The sequence below is a fragment of the Homo sapiens genome, chromosome 1 (assembly GCF_000001405.40).
Source record: "Homo sapiens chromosome 1, GRCh38.p14 Primary Assembly".
Classification (NCBI taxonomy): Eukaryota; Metazoa; Chordata; class Mammalia; order Primates; family Hominidae; genus Homo; species Homo sapiens.
The window spans coordinates 169,789,071-169,816,225 of record NC_000001.11 but is presented as its reverse complement, the minus strand read 5'-3'; the positions used below and the strand labels follow the sequence as shown (position 1 = coordinate 169,816,225).

The following is a 27,155-nucleotide window of genomic DNA, read 5'->3' as shown; positions in this document are numbered from 1 at the left end:
TTGGTTTCCAACAGTTGCCCAGTTCATGGAAAGCCTTCTTATTTAGTTTACTTGGGATAATTTTACTTATTTTGCTTTACTGTTGTAGAATATACTGCTGTTGTTCTCTGTGTAGGAATACAAGATAATTCTGTGTAGGAATATGAATTACTGAATGTTTTATTAAATCGAACACTTACTAATCTTCCAGATATCATCTTTTTTTGGAATTGAGAGTTATGAATGGCCCTCATCATACTGACACTTTCTGACTGATCTCCTCTCTACCCCAAATATAAGAGACCCCAATAGTTAGGCAGGAATATCATCATCCCTATTCAGCCCGAAGAAGTTATAGAAGATGTCTATTTGTCCCTCTACAACCCTTAGGATTAAGGGTTCCCTTATAAAAGGGAGGAGGGAAATATGTCAGAGGTGTTTTAACCAGAGGACTCCATCTTGAAAAGGGGCTGAGTAAAATGAGGACAAGACCTACAGGACTGCATTTCCAGGTTAGGCATCCTAAGTCACAGGATGAGATAGGAGGTCAGCACAAGACAGGTCACAAAGACCTTGCTGATAAAACAGCATGCAGTAGAGAAGCTGGCCAAAACCCACCAAATCTAAGATGGTGACAAAAGTGACTTCTGGTTGTCCTCACTGCTCACTATACACTAATTATAATGCATTAGCATGATAAAAGATACTCCCATCAGTTCCATCACAGTTTACAAATACCCTGGCAACAACCAGAAGTTACCCTATATGATCTACAAAGGGGAGAAACCCTTAGTTCTGGGAATTGCCCACCCCTTTCCCAGAAAGGGAATAATCTACCCCTTGTTTAGCATATAAATCAGGAAATGGCCATAAAAGTGGCCAACCAGGAGACTTAGGGGTTGCTCCACCTATGGAGTAACCATTCTTTATTCTTTTCTTTTTTTTTTTTTTGAGACAGAGTCTTGCTCTGTCACCCAGGCTGGAGTGCAGTGGCGCGATCTCGGCTCACTGCAACCTCCACCTCCTGGGTTCAAGAGATTCTCCTGCCTCAGCCTCCGGAGTAGCTGGGATTACAGGCACCCACCACTGTGCCCAGCTAATTTTTGTATTTTTAGTAGAGATGGGGTTTTACCACGTTGGCCAGGCTGGTCTCCAACTCCTGACCTCATGATCTACCCACCTCTGCCTCCCAAAGTGCTGGGATTACAGGCGTGAGCCACCGCGCCTGGCCTTATTCCTTTACTTTCTTAATAAACTTGCTTTCGCTTTACAAAAAAAAAAACAAAACTTTTTTTATATAGTGAAAACTGAAATGTACCAAGTGTGCATCATGTGGAGAACACCTAAATACAGTTGACCTTTGAACAACATGGGGTCTAGGGGTGCCAACCCCCATGTGGTCTAAAATCCGAGGATAACTTTTGAGTCTCCCAAAACTTAACTACTAATAGCCTACCACTGACTATAAGCCTTACTAATAAAAAGAGCTGATTAACATATTTTGTATATGTATTAACACTGTCTATTTACAAGAAGAATCATCTATCTGAAATGGCAGGTAATTGCAGTTGCAGACCTCAATTTACAATATGTATCAAGGAATTCTCGGGAGCACTTCCAGGATCACTAGTGGCACTTCTTATGGGTTTCCATATTGCATTAAAGATGATGAAAAAATATGGAGGCACCTCAAGCAATAACTTTTTACTGAGAAAAGCAATTTACTTACTGGAGAGACAAACTGCTCACGTGGGGATGGTTAGTATCACATGGCCTTGCAACACTTTTCACAGTAACAGCAACAGGAAGTGGCTATGAAATTATTGTATACTGAATATATAGAAAATAATGGCAAAAACTGCAATTACTTTGGCACAACCTAATAGTACTACAATATGTACCACAGTTAATTTTATGCAGTTATGATTTAATACTGCATATTTACCTTTGTTTACATTTCTCTCAACTGCATGGTACCATGTATGGTCTCTGTGTGCTAAGTTTTGATAAATTTTAACCTTTGATAATAGATTTGTATTATTTTATGGTAATAAATGACAATTTAAAAAAGTCTGCATAAGTTGACCTGTGCAGTTCAGACCTGCATTGTTCAAGGGTCAACTATAAATTTATAGTATAATCACATAAGAATCAGGTACATATATCTTCATGGACACAGAAAGCCCTAAGGATAAACTGTTAAGTAAAAAATCAAATTGTAAACAACTTGTATAATGTAAAATTAATTACAAAAATTGAGTCATTCTTGTCATACCCAACTAAAACAGAGTCAACAGGCCTAGGGGAAAAGCACTCAGGGCACAAAACATTTCTCCCAAAATGTAATTCTCTGTAGGCCTGGCTGCTGAAACTGCCTGCTGTAACCGGAAACCAGTTTTATCTAAGGGCTACTGAAAGAAACTAGTGCAACTCTAAGACCAGTGTTACCCACTGCCATCACTCACCAATCAGAGCTTGACAGCTCCCCAAATCTAGTGCCAATGGACTTTCTTGAAGAGCTATATGTAATATGTCTCCTTTTTTATAAGACCGCTAACCTTCTCCTTTTTCTGTGGACATACCGAACAATTGGTCTGCATGAATGCTCCAAAGTGCAATTACTTCCTCCCAAATAAAACGTTCTGTTTTCAGAGATTTGTCTATTGACTCTAATGATAACACAATCCTATCATTATTTTTAAATGTGTTAAACCACCCCCAAAATAAATCAAAACCTTTCCTGTGATTCTTTCTAGTAGACGAAAATAGGATTTAACCTTCCATGTTAGATACTTGTGTAATATGTGTGAGTTTTCTGATTACGTATTACATTTGTAAATTGATAAAACAGTGGGTAGTGCCAATAATATGCAGGGAGGGCTATAGATTCATCTGCCTGGATTTAAGTCCTGGTCCTACTACAACTACTATATGATCTGGGGAAAGTTATTAAACCTTTCTGTGGCCCAGTTTTCTCATCTATAATGAGGCTAATACAGGATTATTGTGAGATTTAAACAGTGTCTGACGTTTAAGCAACTTAGCTCAATAAATATTGGTTGTTCCACCACCCAAGTTTATAATACACACTATAATCCAAACAGCTTTAAATAGTGCCATAAAATTAAGTCAAATAAATTACTGTCTTTAATTTGTGAATTATTTCATATGAAAATAACATATCTTAACTTATATGTTGATTGGCTATGTTTCTTTTCCAATATAGCAAAATCTTCATTAAACCAAATCAAAACAGAGTTGGATGGTTCGCTAATGGAATATGATCCCTCATTTTGACCCTTATTAAAAATATTTGAAAATAGTCCATTTTCCTCAGCAGAAATAGGGTAGATGAAAATTCACCTTTCTTTGATCATTTTTTTTTTTTTTGAGATGGAGTCTCACTCTGTTGCCCAGGCTGGAGTGCAGTGGCATGACCTCGGCTTACTTCAACCTCCACCTCCTGGGTTCAAGTGATCCTCCTGCCTCAGCCTCCCAAGTAGCTGGCATTACAGGTGCGCACCATCACTCCTGGCTAATTTTTGTATTTTTAGTAGAGACGGGGTTTCACCATGTTGGCCAGCCTGGTCTCGAACTCCTAGCTCAAGCAATCTGCCCACCTCGGCCTCCCAAAGTGCTGGGATTACAGCCATGGGTCACCACACTCAGCCTTTTCGATTATTTTGAAGATGAACTCTCTAATACAGTGCTATGCAAATTTAAAAGCACAAAGTTTATTCTACACTGACCTTATAATCAGCATAGACGTCATCATATCACCATAAGAAACCTTTCCTGACTTCATCACTGGGTACCTATCTTGTACTCCCATGAGCCAGCCAATACCCAGTCCTCCAAAGATCATACCATTCTATAATAATTACCTACTTACTTGTGTCTCAGGCTAGACTCTAAGTTGTTGAGGGCACCTACAACATTTCCTGGCACAGAATAAGTACTCTGGAAATACTTGTTAAATGACTGAATGAGTGGTGACACACAACTTATTTGTTTGCTTACTTTAAATTTTCTCTCTCATTCAAGAGGAAATTACACAAGATTTGTTCGAAGCCTCTAGCTTTACTTCATTACTAAATAGCATACTACTAATTAAACCTAGAGTTTTATTTTTACATTTTCAAAAAGCAGGTAAATAACACAAATAACTTAACAGTCCCATCTTTGATTTACTCAACTGTTTAAAACAAAGTTTGCATCTTAATGCCAACAAAGAAGGTGTGGGTAATATAAGCAAGGAAGACCATTTTTCAATGCTTTAAAATATGAGCACCATTCTTTCTTTCTTTCTTTGTTTCTATCTATCTAGACAGGCTCTCACTCTGTTGTCCAAGCTCTATCTATCTATCTATCTATCTAATCTATCTATCTATTATCTATTTAGATAATCTATTATCTATTTAGATAGATAATCTGTCTATTATCTATTTAGATAATCTGTCTATTATCTATTTAGATAATCTGTCTATTATCTATTTAGATAATCTGTCTATTATCTATTTAGATAATCTGTCTATTATCTATTTAGATAATCTGTCTATTATCTATTTAGATTATCTATCTATCTATCTATCTAGACAAGCTCTCACTCTGTTGTCCAAGCTGGAGTACAGTGGCCTGATCATGGCTCACTGCAGCCTCAATCTCCTGGGCTCAATGCATCCTCCCACCCCAGTCTCCCAAGTAACTAGAACTACAGGTATGTGCCATGAGGCCTGGAGAATTTTTTTATTTTTTGTAGAGATGGGGGTCTCCCTGTGTTGCTCAGTCTGGTCTCAAACTCCTGGGCTCAAGCAATCCTTCTGCCTTGGCCTCTCAAAAGTGCTGAGATTACAGGCACATTCTTTCTTTAATAAAACAATTAAAATACTAATAAAATTTAAATATAGCAGGCAATAAAATCTAAGTGTAGGCAACAGATACAATAGTATATGTTTATTTTCTGAATAATACAAATTTCTAAAAGCATTATATAAACATAAGTAGGAATTAGAGTGGAAATTAAATTAGTTCTAAGGGCCACACAAATAAATTTCCCTGTTTATAGAAAAACTAAATAATTGGGGGCAGGCCGGGCGCGGTGGCTCACGCCTGTAATCCCAGCACTTTGGGAGGCCGAGGCGGGTGGATCATGAGGTCAGGAGATCGAGACCATCCTGGCTAACAAGGTGAAACCCCGTCTCTACTAAAAATACAAAAAAATTAGCCGGGCGCGGTGGCAGGCGCCTGTAGTCCCAGCTACTCGGGAGGCTGAGGCAGGGGAATGGCGTGAACCCGGGAAGCGGAGCTTGCAGTGAGCCGAGATTGCGCCACTGCAGTCCGCAGTCCGGCCTGGGCGACAGAGCGAGACTCCGTCTCAAAAAAAAAAAAAAAAAAAAAAAAAAAAAAAAAAAATTGGGGGCTAAAGAACTATATGTTAAAACTATACATTAAAAACTCTAATAGAATATTCTCTTTTTGAAACCAATTTCAAGACTTAATTGAGAATAAATATCGATTTTAGGGGTTGTTATGGGTTGAACTGTGTCCCTCCCAAAAAGCTTTAAGTTCTAACTCCCAATACTTCAGAATGTGGCCTTATTTGGAAATAGGGTTATTGAAGACATAATTAGTTAAGATGAGGTCATATTAAAGTAAGGTATGCCCTTAATCACTATCACTGGTGTTCTTATAAAAAGATGATGTGAAGACACAGAAAGCCAAAGTAAGCTAAGGATTGCCAGTGACACCGAGAAGCTAAGAGAAAGATATGAAATATATTCTCCCCTAAAGCCTTCCAGAGAACATGGCCCTATTGACACACTGTGAACTTCTGCCTCTAGAAATGTGAGAGAATAAAATTCTATTGTTTTAAGCCACCTAGTTTGTGGTAACTTGTTACGGCAACCCCAGGAAATTAATACAAGGAATGATACATCACATGCTTCTATAAATAGTGTAATATTAATTAAATCTACTGGTTTTATTTTGACTTTTTTCCAAGTGAGATGATATGGCTTGAAGATTGGTGTCCTCCCAGACACCTAACACCCAATGTGATACTATTAAGAGGTGGGGCCTTTGGGGAAGTGATTAAGTCATGAGGGCTCTGCCCTCATGAATGACATAAGTGCCCTTATAAAAGAGGTTGAAGGGAGCTGTCTTGCCCCTTGCACTAAGTGAGGATGCAGCAACAAGGGGCCATTTTTGAAGCAGACGGCACACCCTCGTTAGACACCAAATCTACTGGTGCCTTGATATTGGGCTTCCCAGCTTCCAGAACTGTGAGAGATAAATTTCTAATATTTATAATCCCTTACCCAGTTTAAGGGATTTTGTTATAGCAGCCTAAATGGACTAAAACACAAAGTGAAAACTGCCAGGAAAACTTCAATACTTTACTTTGATTGGTAAATAAATATTAATAGTGAACAGCAGAGGGCGTCGCTGATCAGAATTTGGAGTTAAGATTGAAGAAATTATACAGTCCACCTCAAAGCTCCATTTCAGGCAATGGACAGTAAGCAGAACTGGTCACATTTATCAGTCCCAAATTTGAAAAAATGAGAATTTTCTTGGACAGTTAAGAGAATTTAAATTTTCTGATTTCCATCTATAAGCAGTTTATATAAACTGAAGATATACTTTATGTACAGCCACCCTGGCTAAGCAGCCCCCATACTCTCTCTTGCCACTATAGACTATACTGTTGTTTAGACTTTCTTCATCTTACTCTTGGTCCAAGTATCTCTGTTTAATTTTCCTCTCCAAGTACTAGCTGCAAACTCTGTGGTGTCAAGAGAAGCAAGAAGGAAACTGAAAAAGGAGGAGGTTGGTGTTGAGAATATGAATCTATAGGATAAAGGTAAAGAAGAAAACAACCTTCCTGCCATTGATATAGGATACCCAAACAAACTTCTCCTTTTAGCAAGGTAAGAGGAATCAGAAAGGATGCACGAATGAAGTGAGGACAAAAAAGGAAAGGGAAAAAGGAAGAAGGGATACAAGGGGAGGGGCAGGTGAGATAAAGAAGAGAAGCAAGAAGAAAAAAGTTAGCCCCTTCCTAACACTACTCCTCATTTCCTTCTTACTACCTTCAGAACTTCTTTTTAAAGTTCCACCCTCCCCTAGGGTCTGTCCTTCCAGATCAGCCCTGCCCTAGGAGTTGCTACCAGTTTTAGGACTTGGATGAACCCCTACACTTTCACCCCCATAGCTGACTGGCAGGGAAGAGCGCAGGTACAAAGGAATTCCCTGTATCAGCTTGCAGATGTACAATAGAAGGGGCTATGTCATTGCTATTCAAGGAAGAAATATTCAATTCATGGTCCCATTAAAATTATTACATATAGGCTGGGCGCGGTGGCTCACACCTGTAATCCCAGCACTTTGGGAGGCCAAGGCGGGTGGACCACCTGAGGTCAGGAGTTCGAGACCAGCCTGGCCAACATGGCGAAACCCCGTCTCTACTAAAAAAATTAGCCAGGCGTGGTGGCAGGCGCCTATAATCCCAGCTACTCAGGAGGCTAAGGCAGAACGATCCCTTGAACCCGTGAGGCAGAGGCTGCAGTGAGCCAAGGTCATACCACTGCACTCCAGCTTGGGTGACAGAGTGAGACGCCATCTCAAAAAAAAAAAAAACAAATGACATATAACTGTTAGGTCCTGAGTACTATTAATCTTATAATTTAGGACTACTATAGTTAAATAAAATTGAGGGCTAGTCTGAAAGCAAAAGGTACTATGTATAACAGTGTTACAGGAAAATGAGTTATAATTCCCAATAATCGTACTACAAATTTTTAGAATATAATGTTTCATAAATGGGATACCAATTCAACACTCTAACTTTTCAAAATAAAAACAAATGTATGACTATATCAAATTTAAAAGACTGATACATACATATACATGCACAAACATACTTGTATCCCTAAAGGTCGCAATGCGTTGGTGAAGAAAAAATGCAAGATTGATTGCAGCTATATCAGATCTTATACAAATATGAACAAAAGAATTTTTGTTCTCATGCAGAAAAGAATGAAAGGATTCTGAGAAGAATGCTGTGACCAACCAGTTACCAAGCAAAGAGGGAGCCAGGCAGACCCCAGAGGCAATGACAGCAGTTAGGAATCTAATACAATGCTCTGGGTGAAAAGTAATTATGGGATATAAATAATCCCACAGATCAAAAAAAAACACCCAAATGAAATAAATTAAAATCCTCTTAAATAGACTGACCCAGACATTCAAATGAGATTTACTAACTGCCAAAGAAAATAAGAGTTGCTGTTTAAAATGCTATTAGCCCAAATTTTACCTGTGCATCTGACTGTGTCATCTGCTCAGCTAACTGTAAACAAGAATGGAAGGAGAAAAGAATGTCTTCACACAAGCTAGTAATTATATCTTTGTGTTTCAACTGGCTTTTTATTATGGACTGGTGCTTAAGGCTCTGCCTAAATGAATAAAAAGAAAAGAATACAATCACCACAAGTAACACATCAAGTAACTTAGGACCTCTAACAATATCTACCTTGTAGAACATTTAAAAAAACAATCAAAAAGCATCATATATCACATAATATAACTAAGATGTGCCCAGTTTACCTCTGAAGCAGTTATATTTGTTTAAATAAGTTGCTAATTTTTTCTCTGTGTAAAATATTAATTGAATTCTTACTATGTATGAGGCATTCTACCAGGCCCTGGAGACAAAGGGGTCAAACAAATGGACACAATCTCCGCCTTACCTGCATGAAACTTGTGGTCTAGCATGAGAGAGAATGTTAAATAATTTTAAGAATAATTAATTAGGGCTGTGATTTGTCAAATGACAGAGTCTAAGGTGCTACAATAGAGAGACCTAATCTAACTTATTCTTAGGGTAAGGATATCAATCTAACTTAATCTTAGGGTAAGGATATCAAAGAATGTTATCATGAAGATATAACTCTTAAGCTGAGAACTGAAAGACAGTAAGCAGGAGTTAGCAAGGTACACAAAATAGGAGAGAGAAGCATCCTAGGCAGATGGAAAAACCACGAAAAGACTCTGGGACAGGAGAGTTTGGTATGTTTGAGGAACTAAGAGTAGGGAGAGCAGCATGAGACAGGCTGGTGAAGGAGGCAGCATCCACAGAGGATTAGGTTGTTATTCTTAATCAAATGGGATAGACTTCAAGCAATAGAGTAACATGATCTGATTTACTTTTTAAAAGATCATTCTGCTGGGCAGAAAATGAACTGGAAGAGGGTAAGAGTGGAAGATAATCAGTGATGATGATAGTGATGTGGCTAATTCCTTGAGTATTAACTATGTGTCATGCACATTTCTAAGCATTTCACAGTGATGAACTCAATTCTCACTATAACCCTGTCAAGAAGTTGCTATTATTATTTCCATTTTCAGATGAGCAAACTAACGTTCAGAGAAATTAACCAAATAGCCCAAGGGCTCAGAAGGAGTAAATGATTTCAAGAATGGATTTAAGCACATGTGATACAGCTCCCAGGCAACACTCTTAACCACTGAATGGCAACTTAATGTCCTGGTAGTACAAGAAAAGTACCTAAGACCTGAAAATACACTGACCTTTAATGTTTTATGTATGTGTATAAAGTAGATATTCTTAACCATTTTTACATCTCAACCACATCTCCTCTCACCCCTAAGAATCTGATGAATGCTACAGGCACTATCCCTGGTGACCCTTTAAAATGCTTCAGTTTCAGAAAGTTAAAATTACTGTACAAATGGAATTAAGTGTGAACAACTTAAAAGTACCTAATGAAAAGATTATATTCAGTTTTAATTATAGTTATCAATTTATCTAATCCTAGAAATAGGATACTTGATAGCTGGTTAAACAACAGTAGCAGAAGAAAAGTGGTTAAGTTCTAGTCTGGCCCATGGCCCATTATTTCTGAAGTACTAGCTAACTAGGAAGAACATTTTTTTTAATTTTAGAGGCCACAGGGTAAAGAAGTCCAATTTGGCTTGAGAGCTACATGTAGAATATCTGGATTATCAGACAGCAGTGTCAGTGAACATTAAATTCACACAAAATGTTTTAAATGCAATCTAAAGAATCATGAATAATTAAGATTGGGGAATATGGAAAACATTTTCTAAAAAGTAAAAAATAACAAACAAACTTACTTAATTATAAACTTCCAAGTATTGGCATGAAATGCATGGTCCATACTGGAAATAACAGAGCAGATATCCAATAAAGAATGAATAACTGCAAAGAAAGATAACAGAACTTTTAAGACATCCAAATGTCATGGGGGTGAGTTTCTCCTATAATTAAAACTATCTACTGAACAATTTCAACATTTGATTGAATTAAAATACGTAACACAACTTGGAAACAGTTGTGTCAAAAGAATTATTTAAACTATTTAAGTGTCACACTTGTTAATGGTTTTTATAAATATTGAATATTAACTTCTGAAGTTTATACCTACCAGATGACCTAAATAAAACTAAAGATGTTCAGTGGAATAAAAGTTGTACCCTATTATAACTGAAATATTCTACAGATATAATTCTAATCCAAAATGACAAAACAAATTGCTAAGGAAAGAAAATCTAAAAAGGAAGAATTCAAATTAATATCCATGGTATTCATGCAAGGCTTTTACTCAGTCTGTGGTAGATTATTTATAAAAATGGCCACAATGACTGCCCTTTGTGAATCCACACTTTTCTACAATGACTCTGGGCTAAACGCTATGACCTGCTGTGGCCCGGGGGACAATAATAAAATTAAGGCAAGCAGAAACTTGAAAAGTGCTAGCACACAGCGACCTGCTCACACTTTTGCTACTCTTAGAAACCCTGAAACCACTGGCATCAGGTATCTGAGATAGGGTGAACCTGCTGGATGATGCACATGGCTTTCTCAAGTACTTCTGCCTCTGCCAACAGCCAGATGTGAATGAAGTCACTGAAGTCACATGGGTGAGCTAGTGCCCCAGGTGGATCAGAGAAAGTTGTCTCAGGACATCCCACCCTAAACTGCAGACTCACAGAATCATGAATAAATAAATAGTGAATAAATAGATTTTGAGGTGGTGTGTTGCAGAGCAACAGGTGCCTGATACACTGCACAAAACCAACTTACTCTCTTTATACCAAAGTTTTGAATGCAAACTTTGCCTTTATATTGTTTTTCAAACTCTTGTTCATAATCCATTAATGAGTGATAAAATCAATGAAGTGTGTTACGACCAGCAATTCTTTAAAAATAAACTAGTATTGGCTGGGCACGGTGGCTCATGCCTGTAATCCCAGCACTTTGGGAGGCTGAGGCAGGTGGATTACCTGAGGTCAGGAGTTCAAGACCAGCCTGGCCAACACGGTGAAACCCTGTCTCTACTAAAAATACAAAAATTAGCCAGGTGTGGTGGCGGACGCCTATAATCCCAGCTACTCATGAGGCTGAGGCAGGAGAATCGCTTGAGTCCGGGAGGCGAGGTTGCAGTGAGCCGAGATTGTGCCACTGCACTCCAGCCTGGGCTACACAGTGAGACTCTGTCTCAAAAAAATAAAATAAAATAAAAATAAACTAGTATAAAGTGCATCACATGTAAAATGAGTTATTTCATTATAATATGTATATGAGAATAGACATATTTACATACACATATGCACGTATTTATATGTATTCTGGAAGGAAATATAAACTGCATCTCAATATCAGTTATGGTTAAAAAAATGTGAAAGTTATTGTCTCTGAATATGGACAACCTCAGAGATTATAAAGTTATATAAGTTAATCATTGTGGAGAAATTACAGTAACTAAATACGCAAATCTAGGTTAAGGTACCCAAAATAAATTTTACAAATTCCAAATTTCAAGATTAAAAATTTATTTGGTAAGATTTAAATCAATTTTAATGCATAATTAGTAAGAAAATAACATGAATCATTAGAGACAATTTTAATTGATACATGATTTATAGTCACCATATACTAAGCAGAAAGTTTTCTTCACTCACCTATTACCATATTCAAAATATCATCATTGTCATCTACTAAAGGGTCCATGCAAACCATGTCCAGCAGTTCCATTAACTGCTTTTGAAGAGAATAGGCCTCCTTGAAAAGAGCCTGGAGAAGGTCTGAAACTAGGTGTAAACACCCAGAATACACAGATTCACTATTCTGATTACGGATAAATAAAAATGAGAGAAAAAACAAATCAAAGCTCAAGAGCCAAATTTACTTTAATTCATACTATTAGAGATCATAAATTTACTGAATCACATATTCATTCATTGTTTAGTGAACATCCATTAAATATAGTGTGCTTCAAGAGATGCAAGCATGTATAAAATATTATTTCTGACTTCCATGATCTTGCAAATACAGAACTAAAAAAGGGTAACATTAGGCCAGGTGCGTGACATTTTTAGCATCCTATCAGCAAAGAGAGGTATTAATTAACTAGTGATTTTCATTCGCCCAACAAATAGCAATATTAAAACTGTCTGTGACCCATAAATTCTAGGCAAGCTTTTGTGCCTCAAGGCTACCTCTGGCATGTAGAGATGGACTAAATAAGGATTAACTTTCCTTTATAAAAGGAAGTTCTGACATCTAATCATAATGGTAATTGAATATTGGTCAATGCAACATGACATAACTATTTCAGGATCCCTGTGTCTGTCTCAACACAAATTCTTAAAACTTCTTTCTTTATAGAGGGGAAATAAGATAAAACTAAAAAACCCCAAAAAGCCACTTTTAATGACTTCCTTAAAACCACTTTTTTTGCAACAATTATTTACTTACATGTTCTTTATTCTATGGAAAAGTTTATTTCAATAATATAGACTAAAATGTAAAATCTTATACAAACATTATTTTACTCAGCCCCTATGCACATTGATTATATACCATTCAAAGTATAATTAGACCTTTACTCACCTTACAATGCACAAATGTGCTTTTAATTATATGAAGGACTGAGGAGGGGAGACTCTGAATATTTTCCAAAATGATGGATTCCTGTGTGGCACAGATATGCTGAACACATCCTGTGAGAGCTCCTAAGAGCTGCACCATTGTCTGTGAATAAGGAAGGAAATTTCACTTAGAATATATTTTTTGTGCACTGAAAAGGTATTAGTCAGCATGCTGGGTGCTACAAATACAGCAATGAACAAAACACAGTCTCTTCCTCTTTTCACAGAACTTTAGTCTATCAGAACTACAAATACTGGAACAACTGTCTAGCCATTTAGAATACTAACACAAACTTCAAAACACATGGCAGGTGTTCCACACATATCCTTGAAAATACAGGTAGGGTCAGCTAGCTTGATGACTTCTCTTCTTATAAGAGTTTATTATTCAGAATTCATGTTTCTATATTCACGTCTTTAATTCTATAAATTTAATTCCAACATTAGGCCATTACATAAGAATACATAGCTAATCAGTATCAGTATAAAAATTTTGACATTCTTTAAGCTCCCTCTCTCTCCTGCTTTCTAATACATTTGACTTACTTGTAAAATATTCCTTAGAGTGGTCTGGATTTCCAAATTTTGGCTTGACAGTCCTCTGGCTTGACTGGTTAATTCATACATCATGTCATCGAATAATTTCACAGTCTGTAAAAACAAATCAAGTAATAAACAGGAATAAGAGAAATCACTAGAAAAGACAAGACAAAACTTTACAGAGAAAACACAATACGATAATTTGATTTTGCACTAGTAACATCCACAGGCTATCATCTAGCTTAACAATTGTACCTAATTAAGCACAAAATACAGAGAAAAGGTATTTTTACAACATAATCCCCCCAAAAGCCCCAAACAGAAATTTATTTTCCATTTCTATGGTTTGAATCTATTTAATAGCATCAATTTTTTTAAAAAATCACTCAAAGTTCATGTTTTAGAGATGCAAAAAATAAAAGTATTACTTTCGCACAATAAATTTGACTGTCTTGAAGAATCCACATTCATACAGTCATTTACAAGGGTATTTTCTGGAAGGAATTTGCACTGAATCGCCTATTCACTACTCACTTATTTTCTAACCAGTTTCCTTTTGACCCAATTCAAGCTAACCTTCCTGAATTAAGGGTATAGTAAATGACCTTACAAACAAGCTTTTTGTCTGTGAAAAGTTAGCCACCCTAGATCTTAATACTTGGATCTTTCTAACAATTTAAATGACCTAAACATTATAAGAATAGCAACACAGTCAACAATACAATGTAGCTAAAGAAAATACTGTTTCCCATAGGCCTGTTAACACTCAACATCCATTTTCATCTATGTAACAGTTGAATCTTTTTCTGGTGGTCAAGAACAAATTCTAAGAAATATTTCAGATAGAGAATCATCAAGTGACTATGAGTACAAGAAATTTGAAAGATTACGATTCAAAGCTAAAGTTAGAAACCCATTTCAATAAGAGATTAATTACAAATAATGTTTCATTTTGGCACCAAAGTATCTTTAGTTCCCTCCATTTAAAACAAAAAAGGTATGCTTGTGCTTTTCAGAGAAAACATATACCATATATATCTAAAATGTAATAATGTATTCTGTGAATTTAATGTTTTCTCTTAGTTACTTGATTTTGCCAATATTCCAGCTTTTCTTTTTTTTTTTTTTTTTTTTGAATTAAGGGTTTCACTCTGTCACCCAGGCTGGAGTACAGTGGCTTTAAAATACAAGAGCATTTAAAATTGACTACAAATAATTTAAATTCAGTTAGTAAAGGAACCACACAATCTGAAAATATAAGTTCTTTTTTTTTTTTTTTTTTTTTTGAGACGGAGCATCGCTCTTATTGCCCAGGCTGGAGTGCAATGGCACGATCTTGACTCAATGCAACCTCCGCCTCCCAGGCTCAAGCAATTCTCCTGTCTCAGTCTCCCAAGTAGCTGGGATTACAGGCACCTGCCACCATGTCCAGCTAATTTTTTGTACTTTTAGTAGAGACGAGGTTTCATCATGTTGACCATGGGTGGTCTCGAACTCCTGACCTCAGATGATCTGCCCACCTCAGCCTCTCAGAGAGCTGGGATTACAGGCATGAGCCACCGTGCCCAGCCTGTAACAGTTTTTAACTGCCTAATGATCACACTAACACCATTATAGTCTCACATGAGATCTACTTACTCCTTATTTTTATTTTGAATATATTTGATATATTAGAAAAAGAGAGCCATAATTAATAATAAATCATCTAAGACTGAGGCTAGATTCCTTATAACATGTATTTTCAGGTAATAGTATTATACCTTTGGTAACACTTGTGAAAAGAAAGTCTGTTCCAATGTCAGGTGGTTCATATGAGGTAAAAACATTTCTACAATAATTTTCAAAATTTCTGTAAAGCAAATAACAAATTTTATAAAAATATTGTCATGTCAGTCAACAAAGGCCACTGCCCTTTATTAAATGCAAGAATACTACCAATCTAAAGCTTGATACACTTTCAAAATACCACATTCTATACAGAGAAACTATTAAGTAGTAGCCAAAAAAAAAAAAAAAGAGAGAAAGGAAACGACCTACATATCCAACAATTGTGGACCAGTTAAATAGGTGTGTGTACATCTATTGAATAGGATCTGCCATCATTAAAATGACATTTTAAAACATGAAAAATGTTCACAATGTAGTTAAACAAAAAGTTTCCAAAATATAACACCAATTTTAATGTAGATAAACATGTACGAAGAATGATGGATAGGCTGGCAGGAATATACGGAAATGAGATGAGACTGTTCTCATCAAAATCTTAACCATTTCAGATTAGATGTTTTGTAATCTTTTCTGTTTTTCTATATGTTTCATATTTTCCACAATGAACATGAATCACTTCTATACTCAAGATAAAAAAATAATTTACTTAAAAAAAATTATGCCACGCATGGTGGCTCACGCCTGTAATCCCAACACTTTGGGTGGCTGAGGCGGGAGGACTGTCTGAGCCCAGGAGTTAAAGACCACCTGGGAAACATGACAAGACCTCATGTCTACCAAAAAATAAATATATAAATAGAAAATTAGCCACGCATGGTAGCACGCACCTGCGGTCTCAGCTACTTGGAAGGCTGAGGTGAGAGGATTGCTTGAGCGTGGGAGATGGAGGCTGCAGTGAGCTAGCTATGTTCGCACCACTACACTCCAGTTTTGGTGACAAAGCAAGACCCTGTCCCCCAAAACAAACAAACAAAAACACAGGCCAAGCATCATGGCTCAGACCTGTAATCACAGCACTTTAGAAGATGGAGGCAGGAGAATAGCTTGAACCCAGGAGTTCAGGCTGCAGTGAGCTATGATCGCACTACTGCTCTCCAGCCTGGGCAATAGAGTGAGATCTTGTCTTGAAAACAAAACAAAACAAACTCTGGGGCCAGGCTCAGCGGCTCACGCCTGTAATCCCAGCACTTATGGAGGCCAAGGCAGGAGGATCACTTGAGCTCAGGAGTTTTGAGACCAGCCTGGCCAACATGGTGAAACCCCATCTCTACTAAAAATACAAAAATTAGCCAGGCGTGGTGAAGCATGCCTGTAATCCCAGCTACTTGGGAGACTGAGGCAGGAGAATCACCTGAACCTGGAAGGTGGAGGTTGCAGTGAGCAAAGATCACGCCACTGCACTCCAACCTGGGTGACAAAACGAGACTCCAACAAAAACAAAGGAAAAAAAAATTAGGTCCCATTACACAACGTAGATTCAAATTATAAATGAATATTCCACAACCAAGTGAACTCTAAATAGAAAAGCTAACTCAAAATATGAGTAAACTGAGCAGTCTAAACTCTCTTCTGACTAGAAGAATGAATCTCATCAAGTAAGACTGATGAAGACATGAAAATGAGAAAGTCAACTTCCTCCAAATGGTAAATTTGTTATCACCTAGACAATCAGCTTTTGGCAATTTAGAAAGCATTTTCTAAATGACACTAAACATGTTAGAGGCTGATAGCTATTCAGTAGACTGCATATCATGTTTTATATAGGTCTAATCGTAACAACTAACGTTTAATATTTACAATTTGTTTATACATACATCATCAACAAAACACTTTGGTATTTATCCAAAATGTAATTTAAAACTTTTAAGTGCTGGAATTTGAATGAATTTGTTCATTTCAAGTAACTGAAGGTTATAAAGGCTGTAACATAGAGAACAGTTACATTTCAAGGGAATACAAAACTGTAAGAACACATCTACCGAGGTATGTGGGGACTCGGACCTTAACATCAAAGTACATCATACAGTTAAAACAATTTTACTTACGAATATGCTCAATCCAACTGTCAGAATGTTGAGACAATGAGTAGGATAATTAAGGAAGATACTAGTATCATAGTAATAGGGTATTCATTACTCAGAACAAACCTAAAAAAAAAATAAAACCCTTTTGAAATTTAAGCAATGACTCATAAGAGATTGGAATTGGACTCAAATTACTGGCTTAATTTTGCTTTTAAAAACTTAAGATTTATTAGGTAAACAGTATTGTGAAAACACATTAAAGAAATATTTTGAAAATTGCCCAGGGACAAACTTGCCTTTTCAAACTATGCATAGTCATGAAATATTTTTGACAGATGAGAAACAATGCTACAATAATCCACAGGTTTATGATTTATTTATTTATTTTTTTTTAGAGAGAGGGTCTCGCTCGGGGCCAAGTGGGGTGGCTCACACCTGTAATCCCAGCACTTTGGGAGACCTAGATGGGCGAACAAGAGGTCAGGAGTTGAAGACCAGCCTGGCCAGTATGGTGAGAACCCGTCTCTACTTAAAATACAAAATAATTAGCTGGGCATGGTGGCGCACACCTGTAATCCCAGCTGCTCAGGAGGCTGAGGCAGGAGAATCACTTGAAACTGGGAGGCAGAGGTTGCAGTGAGCCAAGATCGCGCCATTGCACTCCAGCATAGGCGAGACTCCGTCTCAAAAAAAAAAAAAAAGAGAGACGGTCTTGCTGTCACCCAGGATGGAGTGCGGTGACATGATCACACCTCACTGCAGCCTCAAGCTCCTGGGCTAAAGTGATCCTCCCATACCAGCCTCTCAAGGAGCTGGGATTAGAGATGCACACCACCATGCCCAGTTTGTACTTCCGATTTCTATTACAAGAAATTTTTCTTTCCTCAACATTTCTATTGTACTTAATTTATACCTAAGTCACTCATCACCTTCTATCTTTTTTCATATTACTTACATACCTATCTTACCAACTTTATTTGACTGAAATTCTTCTGCACATAGCAGCTTACAAATACACGACAATAAATTCTTCATATACACCATCAAGAATAATTGTTAGAATAATTGTTAGAAATGTTTTACTGTAACAACACCATAAGAATCATCAAAGAATGTTAATAAGAAAAATGAATAACCCGGCCGGGCACGGTGGCTCACGCCTGTAGTCCCAGCACTTTGGGAGGCTGAGGCAGGCGGATCACGAGGTCAGGAGTTCGAGACCAGCCTGGCCAACATGGTGAAACCATCTCTACTAAAGATACAAAAAATTAGCCGGGCATGGTGGCACGTGCCTGTAATCTCAGCTACTCGGGAGGCTGAGGAAGGAGAATCACTTGAACCTGGCTGCTGTGAGCTGAGATCGCACCACTGCACTCCAGCCTGGGTGACAGGGTGAGACTCCGTCTCAAAACAAACAAACAAACAAAAAAAAACCCATAGTCCTACCACAGTAATACAAGAATTCATTCCTCTTCCGAAATCTTATTTTTTACAGCAGCAATCAAAATGAGGTCATCATTAACTCAAATTTGAGTTCAGTAGGGTAGAATTGGCCTCATGAAAAAATTTCAGTAAAGCTCAAATAATTACCAGCTGTTCCAAAATTAGTCAGTTATGATTATGCAGACATGCAGGTAAGGCCTGGAAAATAATACGTAAAATGCAAAACATGAAAAAGATTTTGGGGGGTAATGGCATTGTAGATTTATTGCAAATTTTTCATTTGTTAAAATAGTGAAGCTAAAATACTACCATTAAGCTGAAAAAAAGTATTGTCTAATTAGACTCCCAAGTATTTTTAAAACATGAAATATTTTTAGCCCTTTAATGAATGCTTACTATGTGTCAGGCACTGTTCTAGGTGCTGAGGGTAACGCTGTGAAGAAAATCAACATCCTGCCTTTATGAACTTTGCAACATAATGTGTAGAAGTGGAAAATATACAAAGCAAACAAGAGCATTTCTTTTAATGGTAATGTGCTTTTTAGAAAACTGAACAGGCCAATGTGATACAAGTGTAAGACTGCGTTTGGGGGAACTGCCTAAGATTGAAGGCTCTGAAAAAGCCCCTCTAAGGAAGTGACATTTGGGCCAAGACATAAACATGAAATATGCAAAAGGCTGAGAGAACAAATCAGGCTGAGCAAAAAGATCTTGAGGTAGGTGAGCCTAATGTATTCATGAACAGAGTGTAGTTAATTAACTAGGTATGAGAGAAGGGCAAGGCTTAGATCACCTGGAACCTTGAAGGTAAAGTGGTTTAAAAAGGGAAATGACGAGATCTATGTTTTTCCCCTCTTAACTTTTTTGGAATAATGAATTATGAGTAGAAACAAGGAAACTATTAATACTCCAAGTGAGAGGTGATAAGGGTTTGGAATCAGAGTGGTAGCAATGAGGATGGAGATAAACGGATTGATTCAAGACATAGTTTGGAATCAGAAACAATAGAACTTACTGATCGGGTGTGTGAGACAGAGAGGATTCAAGGTTTCAGTTTGTGAAACCATTTACTCAGATGAAGAAAACTAGAGGAAGTTTGGGCTTTTTTGAATATGTCGTTTGAAGTGCAAAGCTAGGTGGGAATGTTGACTTTCAACTTAATGAAGTCTCTCTATAAGCTTGTGGGGAAGAAGAGGAATCACGTTCCGTGTCTCTGTTCTCCCAAAGCCTAACACCATGTCTCACACACATTATGCACGCAGTTTAAGTGTTTTTGAATGTTTTGAGGGTGGCTATTTGTTTTCAAGTTGAAACTCCTTGAAGACGGCAGTTCTGTACCTACACAAAAACTAAAAAAGGGGGCTTTGGCACCTTCTGAGATTTTGCTAATGCCTAGGTGAATGACTTCTATGTGATTACATAGGGCTTTAGCTGCACAATATTTGTGCAGTATTGAGATTCTCTCAAGTGAAGGTTACTTTTTTTCTTTTGAGTGTAATTGTATAAAGCTGGGCTCAAATGTTGTGAAAAAGATACATATACATATGGTTTACCATGAAAGGCTAGGATTCCAGGCACATTTACAACCACAAAGGCATGAGACCAATCAAGAATGTGCTGCACCCGGACGAAGAAGGCGCTAAGCGCCTCAAATCCAACAGTTGAAAGCCAACAACAAGCGGAAGAACTCTTTCAGAAAGACTCCAGCCTGGGTGAGAGGAGTGAGAACTTGTCAAAAAAAAAGAAAGAAAGAAGAAAAAGAGGTCTGAGAGGGGAAGGAGGAAAATCATTTTTATTTACTGAACATCTTTTAAAGATTTCACACCACAGAACTATGCCCTTTAATTCTTATAACGCTAAGAAAGCCCTTATTCATATTCACCACCCTTTTTACGGGAGACAAAAGCTCAGAGTATCTCGCTTTACCTCAAACTATTAAGAGCCAGAGCTATCGTCATACCGCAGGTCTCAGTCCTTGCCTCCCCCATTATCCACTAGCAAAAGTATTTACACTTAATTGCAAGCAACGAGTACAGAAAAACTGAAAGAAGGAATGGAAGAAAACGCCACATCCACTGCTAAAACCTTGGGTCAGAACACGTCCGCGAGGCTTTCCAGGGCCAAAGCCTTACTTAAATCTACCACGGTTGTCGCTTCCCCTCCAGTCCCTCACTTTTCATCCCACTCACTGACAAAGAAAAGAGGGGGTTCAGGCCGCGGTAATATAACCCAGCCTGGCGGTGGGTCTGAAGGGACAGAAGAGAAAGGTTCGCGACCCGCCCACACCCTTCTCTAGGTAGAAGTGACAACCAAGGAAGGATATGAGGAGTCGGGGCAGGACGGACGGCAGTTCCCGGCGGCATAGCTCCTCTGGCCAGCTACTTAATTCTTCCAGGGGAACCGCGCTAGCTGGGACCGCACCTTCCTGAGACATACTTTCGTCAAACAGGAGAGCTTCAAACCAGACCCGCCAAAGCCCAGACCGGAAACTCGCAGTCCCGCCAACCCTTGCGCGCTCTCCGCCGGCTCCAAAACCATAGAGAGGAGGGCGGCTGGTTTCTTGGTGAGCCCGGGTCCCTCAAGGCCGGAAAGAAAGTCGGGCTTCTCTAGCCCCTGGAGGACTCGACTCACTGGTGCGCGATTTAGGTCCGGAGGAGGCGTTGTGAGGTGAGCTTTTTCAGAAGCGCGATCCCAGGACACGTCGGGAAGCAAGCATCCCCAGGTCTGGATCACTGTAAACATTACATTCAAATGGGGAGGTGAGGGCCAGAAGTCCCCACTTCTGGGGTCGGATTTGTTCCGGGACCTGCAGCCGGAAGTGACTCCAAGCCTTGCAGCGTGATGGGAGAGGAAAGAGGCGCGTTCCTAGCCGCGGGACTGGGTGACCCGCCTCTCCCCCAAATTGTAAATCTTGTATAAAGGGAACAAAGATCCCACTTGCCAGAACTGTGAAAATTGAGGCAGATGGTATAGTGTCTAGCGCAGTAGATAGAAGATTCTCAATAAAGTTGCTTCTTATTTCTACAGGTCTCTCCAAACTACTGCAGTGCCCTAGTTTGCGTTTGCTCTGCCACCGAATTAGTCTTTACTAATTATTGCCAAATTACCCCCACTTCTATACACTTAGGGCTGCTGTTCTCGACTAAATGTTTGGAGTGAAGTCTTGGATGAATTTACACACACCAGGCCATACCTATGCATGTTTTTAAAGGGACGCTGACTTACCAAAATAAAATACTGCACCTCTTCTGTAAAAGACAGAAGTGAAGTTATTCTGGAAGCTTAGGGGGTGAATATGGTTGGACACAAATCAAGACAGCTGAAAGACAGCAAGTAGCTAGGCTGTCCTGTCTGAATATCTTGGACTTTATGTTTGTCCAGGTGGTAGTGGTGGTGGTTGCTGTTGTTCTTCTGTTTGTTTTTATAGTTGATTTTCTTCTCCCACTTTGGAACCCTTAAGGTGTGTATGAGTGTCCAAATCTCTTATCTCTCTCTCTTCCCCACAACTTTTTAAGAAAAAGCAGCTGTATGGTGGGACAGGGAGGGGTGGGGGTGGCTGTTTAATATTACACTTTAGTGAAATGTGCCATTTTGCTTTAATCATCATTTTCTTTCTTTTTTTTTTTTTTTTCTTTCCAGAGCTGCTTGGAAAGAGGACCAAAGACGTCTAAAAAGTCATTTGGAAATATCTCTAAATATTTGTTACCATGTATAAGCTGCTAAAGAGAAATTGGGCCCAACAAAACTAATTGAATAATTGAGGCAGATTTGTGTGTATCATCAAATTCTATCCAGAAGTTGAAGAATCTGAATTTAAAGATTGTGTGCATTTAATAAGAGGATGACCTTTCAGTTTAATTTCACTATAGAAGACCATCTGGAAAATGAATTAACACCCATTAGAGATGGAGCTTTGACCCTGGATTCCTCAAAAGAGCTGTCAGTCTCAGAAAGTCAAAAAGGAGAAGAGAGGGACAGAAAATGTTCTGCAGAACAATTTGACTTGCCTCAGGATCACTTGTGGGAACATAAGTCAATGGAAAATGCAGCTCCCTCTCAAGACACAGACAGTCCACTCAGTGCAGCCAGCAGTTCAAGGAACTTGGAGCCACATGGAAAACAGCCCTCCTTGAGAGCTGCCAAAGAGCATGCTATGCCTAAAGATTTAAAGAAGATGTTAGAAAATAAAGTCATAGAAACATTACCAGGTTTCCAGCATGTTAAGTTATCAGTAGTGAAAACCATCTTGTTGAAAGAGAACTTCCCTGGAGAAAACATAGTTTCAAAAAGCTTTTCTTCTCACTCTGATCTGATTACAGGTGTTTATGAGGGAGGCTTAAAAATCTGGGAATGTACCTTTGACCTCCTGGCTTATTTCACAAAGGCCAAAGTGAAATTTGCTGGGAAAAAAGTCTTGGATCTTGGTTGTGGATCAGGTTTACTAGGTATAACTGCATTCAAGGGAGGGTCCAAAGAAATTCACTTTCAAGATTATAACAGTATGGTGATTGATGAAGTAACCTTACCTAATGTAGTAGCTAACTCCACTTTGGAAGATGAAGAAAATGATGTAAATGAGCCAGATGTGAAAAGATGCAGGAAACCAAAAGTAACACAACTATATAAATGCCGATTTTTTTCTGGTGAGTGGTCTGAGTTTTGTAAGCTTGTACTAAGTAGTGAAAAACTTTTTGTAAAATATGATCTCATTCTCACCTCAGAAACCATTTACAACCCAGATTATTATAGTAATTTGCACCAGACTTTCCTTAGACTGTTAAGTAAAAATGGACGTGTACTTTTGGCCAGCAAAGCACATTATTTTGGTGTAGGTGGAGGTGTTCATCTCTTTCAGAAGTTTGTAGAAGAAAGAGATGTTTTTAAGACCAGAATACTCAAAATAATTGATGAAGGATTGAAGAGGTTCATAATTGAAATAACTTTTAAGTTTCCTGGTTAATTAACATTCACTGAGTATCCAAAATGAAATAAACAGAAGGACCAAAAATTTGAGTGTTTGATTTCTGTTTTGCTATTATTTTTTCTGAAATTTTGATGTTGTTTGTTTAGTTTTGTTTATCCAAATTGTAAGTGAGCTATGTTACCAGTCTTTTACTCACTAGGTGAAACTGAGAAGGTATCCTCGTGCATTTGATGAGATCTCCTGGGAAATCATTTTGTAAGAAAATCCGGTATTCTCCATCTTCATTCTATTTGACCTTTTACCACCTTTGACGTTACATGAAATTGTTCCCAGGAAATCCTGCCATTTCTTCTCTCAAGTCTGTGAATTTCTTCCCAGTCTTCGTTAGTTCCTTGTTCACATTAATATATATCACTAAATATTAGGTTGGGGCCTTATGTAAATAGGAAGAGGTTTTTGTTTCGTTTTGTTTTTATATTCATTTACCTTGTATAGTAAGGATCAGAATGCTGAGAATTTAACTAAATTCACATGGAGATGAGGAAACAAAGGGAATCTGTGACAGAGTATAAAAGTAATACAGAGAACTTGTACTACTTGAGGTTTACCCCTTATAGCCAAGTAAAAGATCCTGCGGTCTTGGTAGGAGGAAAAAGAATAAGAAAGGAGAATTCCAGATTTGGGGGAGTATAGACTTACCAGTTGTTAAATAGTAGGAAAGAAAGGAGAAAGTGTTTTGTTGATTCAAATGCAAAAATTTTCACGTTACCACATTGGGAATTGGGATCTGCCTTGCTCTCTATAAGAACAGTAAAACTGACAGCATTTTTTTCTCTCTTGGAAGTAGCTAAAATAATCGGACATCATGGATTCAATTGAATGTGATATTTACTGGACTTTGTATAGTATCTTGCATAATACTTAAAACCTTATGAGGTTTATGTCATCCCCATTTTAGTAGTGATCATAATAGCTAACTAGCATTTACTGTATACAGGGCAGAAGAGCTTTACATATGTTAACATTAAGTATTCATAACTGCCCTATAAGACTTCAAGAAGTTAATTGATTTGCTCCCAATCACATTTCTCACCTTGAACCAGCATCTGAAGGCTTTAAAATCTTTACACTCTTTCATCACCCAGTGGTCTCAACTCTACCAATGCCTATTTTCATCACAAATATTTCTTAGCACCCTCTTACTACGCTAAGATGAAAGTCATAGTTAAGGAAACTTACTTATATACATTATTAAAAAGCATATTCCTAGTTTATGTATAATTATATGTGATACTCATTCACAACTCTAATATGAAGAAAGTAATTTATAATCAAATAATTTATATCTCATCAGATACACATACAGATGTAGCTACACAGAAGACATGCAGCAGCCAGATGCTTATACCTAGCAACAGGGGTCCCTGATGCCTGCGCCGTGGACCAGTACTGGTCCGTGGCCTGTTAGGAACTGAGCTGCACGGCAGGAGGTGAGCGGTAGGCAAATGAGTATTACTGCCTGAGCTCTGTCTCCTGTCAGATCAGCAGCGGTGTTAGATTCTCATGGGAGTGCACACCCTATTGTGAACTGCATGTGTGAGGGATCTAGCTTGCGCACTCCTTGTGAGAATCTAATGCCTGATGATCTGAGGTGGAACAGTTTCATCCTGAAACCACTCCCCTGCCCAGCCCTTCATGGAAAAATTGTCTTCCACAAAACTGGTCCCTGGTGCCAAAAAGGTTGGGGACTGCTAACCTAGAGTACCATTACTGAAAATGCCACAGCTACAATTCCAGACTTACCTACTAGGTAAGGTAGAACAAATTGGCCTTGACAGCTGGATTGGGGAATTGAGGTACAAATCACTGGATAGAGGCTCATAATACATTAATTGGTTTCAATGATTTTGAGACAAATAGGTATCTCTCAATTCTCCAAGAGAATTAGACTTTTAATGAGGTCTCATCCAGGAGGCCCATTCAGGAACAGCAGAGACATAGCCTCTAACTAGGGGCTCAGGACACAATCTCATTTCCCAGGGAGAGGGTCCAGCAAGTGCAGAAAGGATCAAAGCAGAAGCCCAGTCATGGGAACTAGATAATTTGGGGCATTAAAGATAAATTTGGGGCCAGGCATGGTGGCTCACACCTGTAATCCCAGCACTTTGGGAGGCCAAGGCAGGCAGATCACCTGAGGTCAGGAGTTTGAGACCACCCTGACCAACATGGAGAAACCCCTTGTCTACTAAAAATACAAAATTAGGTGGGCGTGGTGGTGCATGCCAGTAATCCGAGCTATTAGAGAGGCTGGGACAAGAGAATCGTGAGAAGCACTTGAACCCAGGAGGCGGAGGTTGCAGTGAGCCGAGATCGCGCCATTGCCCTCCAGCCTAGGCAACAGGGAAAGACTCTCTCAACAAAAAAAGAGAAAAAAAAAAGATAAATGTGGGGGTATCAAACAGCCCAAAGGGAACACACCTACCCAAGATAGCTGGCAGCAAAAGGGACTTGAGACACAAATTATGGCTACAAATCCAGGAAACAGATACGCAGCTTTCTCATGTAACAGTATCATTTAATCATTTAAGGGTTATGATAACTTGGGTTAAAATTCAATTTCTCCATCTGCAAAACAAGATTTATAATATTATATCCCTAGCAGAGTTCCTTGAAGATTAAGAGTTAAGCATTTATCATGGTTCCTATCAAGTTTCCTATGTATAAGTGGAAATTATTATTTTTAATAATTCGTACTATTTATTCACCTATTTTCTGAACCAGATAGGAAGTCCTGCTCACTTTTGTTAAAAATGGTGTTTGTGCCTTTACAGTATACAAATTTCAGTTCAGAACCTGAAGAAACCACTAAGTTCTAAACCTCGCTCTGCCCACCATTAATCTCCACTCTCTCTCATCCCATTCCCCTCCCTACTCCTCACCTCTGCATTCCTAAATTGTCTTTTTTGGAAGCTTTGGTTGCAGATTATTTAGGATGAAGAAGAGTGCGTCTTGTAAATTTGCTTCTAAAACCCAGTCACATATGTGCTATGTTCTGCCTTTAAACTGCCCATTTCTCAGATGTGCCTGTCCTCTAAGTTCCAGTTTTCATGTCCCACAGACGACGTTCTGTCCATGGTTCAGAAACTCATGGAAATGTCTCTGTGCTGACTGAGTTATGACTTCTCTGTGTCAAATGTGATGGCCAGTGACACATCTGCTATAGGGTCTGTGGGGTGGATAAGTGTCAGCGTTTCATCTGGAGAATTAGATTTTCGAGAAGATTAAACCTATCTTCACTTTTCAATGCCGTCCATAGTATTTTCTTCAGGTGCTTACTAAATGGTCATTTGAAAAAGAGGAATAGCAAGGAAACTCTGACTCCATGAACTTGAGTCTTTGCCTCCACTTCAGCTGGGACATTTTGAATTTTTTATACCATGGTTATGATGGCATTGTGATTGTTGATAATAAGGATTTTCTTTGGGTAAAAGTACACATTTAAAATTGCCATCATAACTAGCGCAACCCAGGAGAGAAGTTGC

The 27,155-nt window shown here is 38.3% G+C and overlaps 2 protein-coding genes across 25 annotated transcripts in view, besides 1 other annotated feature; one reads left to right on the top strand and one right to left on the bottom strand.

Annotated features, from left to right (window-relative positions):
• The window catches only part of FIRRM (FIGNL1 interacting regulator of recombination and mitosis), a 70,244-nt gene that overhangs the window by 37,855 nt on the left and 5,234 nt on the right, over positions 1-27,155 (bottom strand). For 5 of the 21 annotated variants that reach the window (XR_921872.2, NM_001366771.1, NM_001366770.1 and 2 more), the window contains exons 1-8: positions 21,013-21,186; positions 17,268-17,307; positions 15,255-15,343; positions 13,501-13,605; positions 12,917-13,057; positions 11,986-12,151; positions 10,138-10,222; positions 8,297-8,435 (exon numbers count right to left, since the gene is read on the bottom strand). Coding sequence is in view for 15 of the 21 variants with exons in the window: in NM_001366770.1 (NP_001353699.1) it covers positions 8,297-8,435; positions 10,138-10,222; positions 11,986-12,151; positions 12,917-13,057; positions 13,501-13,605; positions 15,255-15,343; positions 17,268-17,307; positions 21,013-21,123 (876 nt within the window). In the remaining 6 variants the exon portion in view is untranslated. Of the gene's footprint in view, positions 1-8,296; positions 8,436-10,137; positions 10,223-11,839; positions 12,152-12,916; positions 13,058-13,500; positions 13,606-15,254; positions 15,344-17,267; positions 17,370-18,836; positions 18,888-20,242; positions 20,398-21,012; positions 21,187-21,320; positions 21,497-27,155 lie in introns of those variants that run through there. The other 16 variants (XM_047424751.1, NM_001320047.2, XM_047424743.1 and 13 more) reach the window with 16 other exon arrangements.
• Positions 21,267-21,586: an enhancer, noted in NCBI's record as "active region_2079". NCBI's record gives its function as "activates an Ori minimal core promoter by ATAC-STARR-seq in GM12878 lymphoblastoid cells {active_cell/tissue: GM12878}" and the evidence as "EXISTENCE:reporter gene assay evidence [ECO:0000049][PMID:35858748]".
• Positions 21,319-23,697, top strand: METTL18 (methyltransferase 18, RPL3 N3(tau)-histidine). 4 transcript variants are annotated; one of them, NM_001320199.2, is made up of 2 exons: positions 21,319-21,356; positions 22,329-23,697. In NM_001320199.2, exon 2 carries the CDS (start codon positions 22,531-22,533, stop codon positions 23,647-23,649), a length of 1,119 nt encoding a protein of 372 aa, NP_001307128.1. In that variant the 5' UTR covers positions 21,319-21,356; positions 22,329-22,530; the 3' UTR covers positions 23,650-23,697. The 4 variants fall into 4 exon arrangements, with proteins under 4 accessions (NP_001307128.1, NP_219486.1, XP_006711690.1 ...); NM_033418.4 differs by having other exon boundaries at positions 21,319-21,411; XM_006711627.4 differs by having other exon boundaries at positions 21,319-22,149.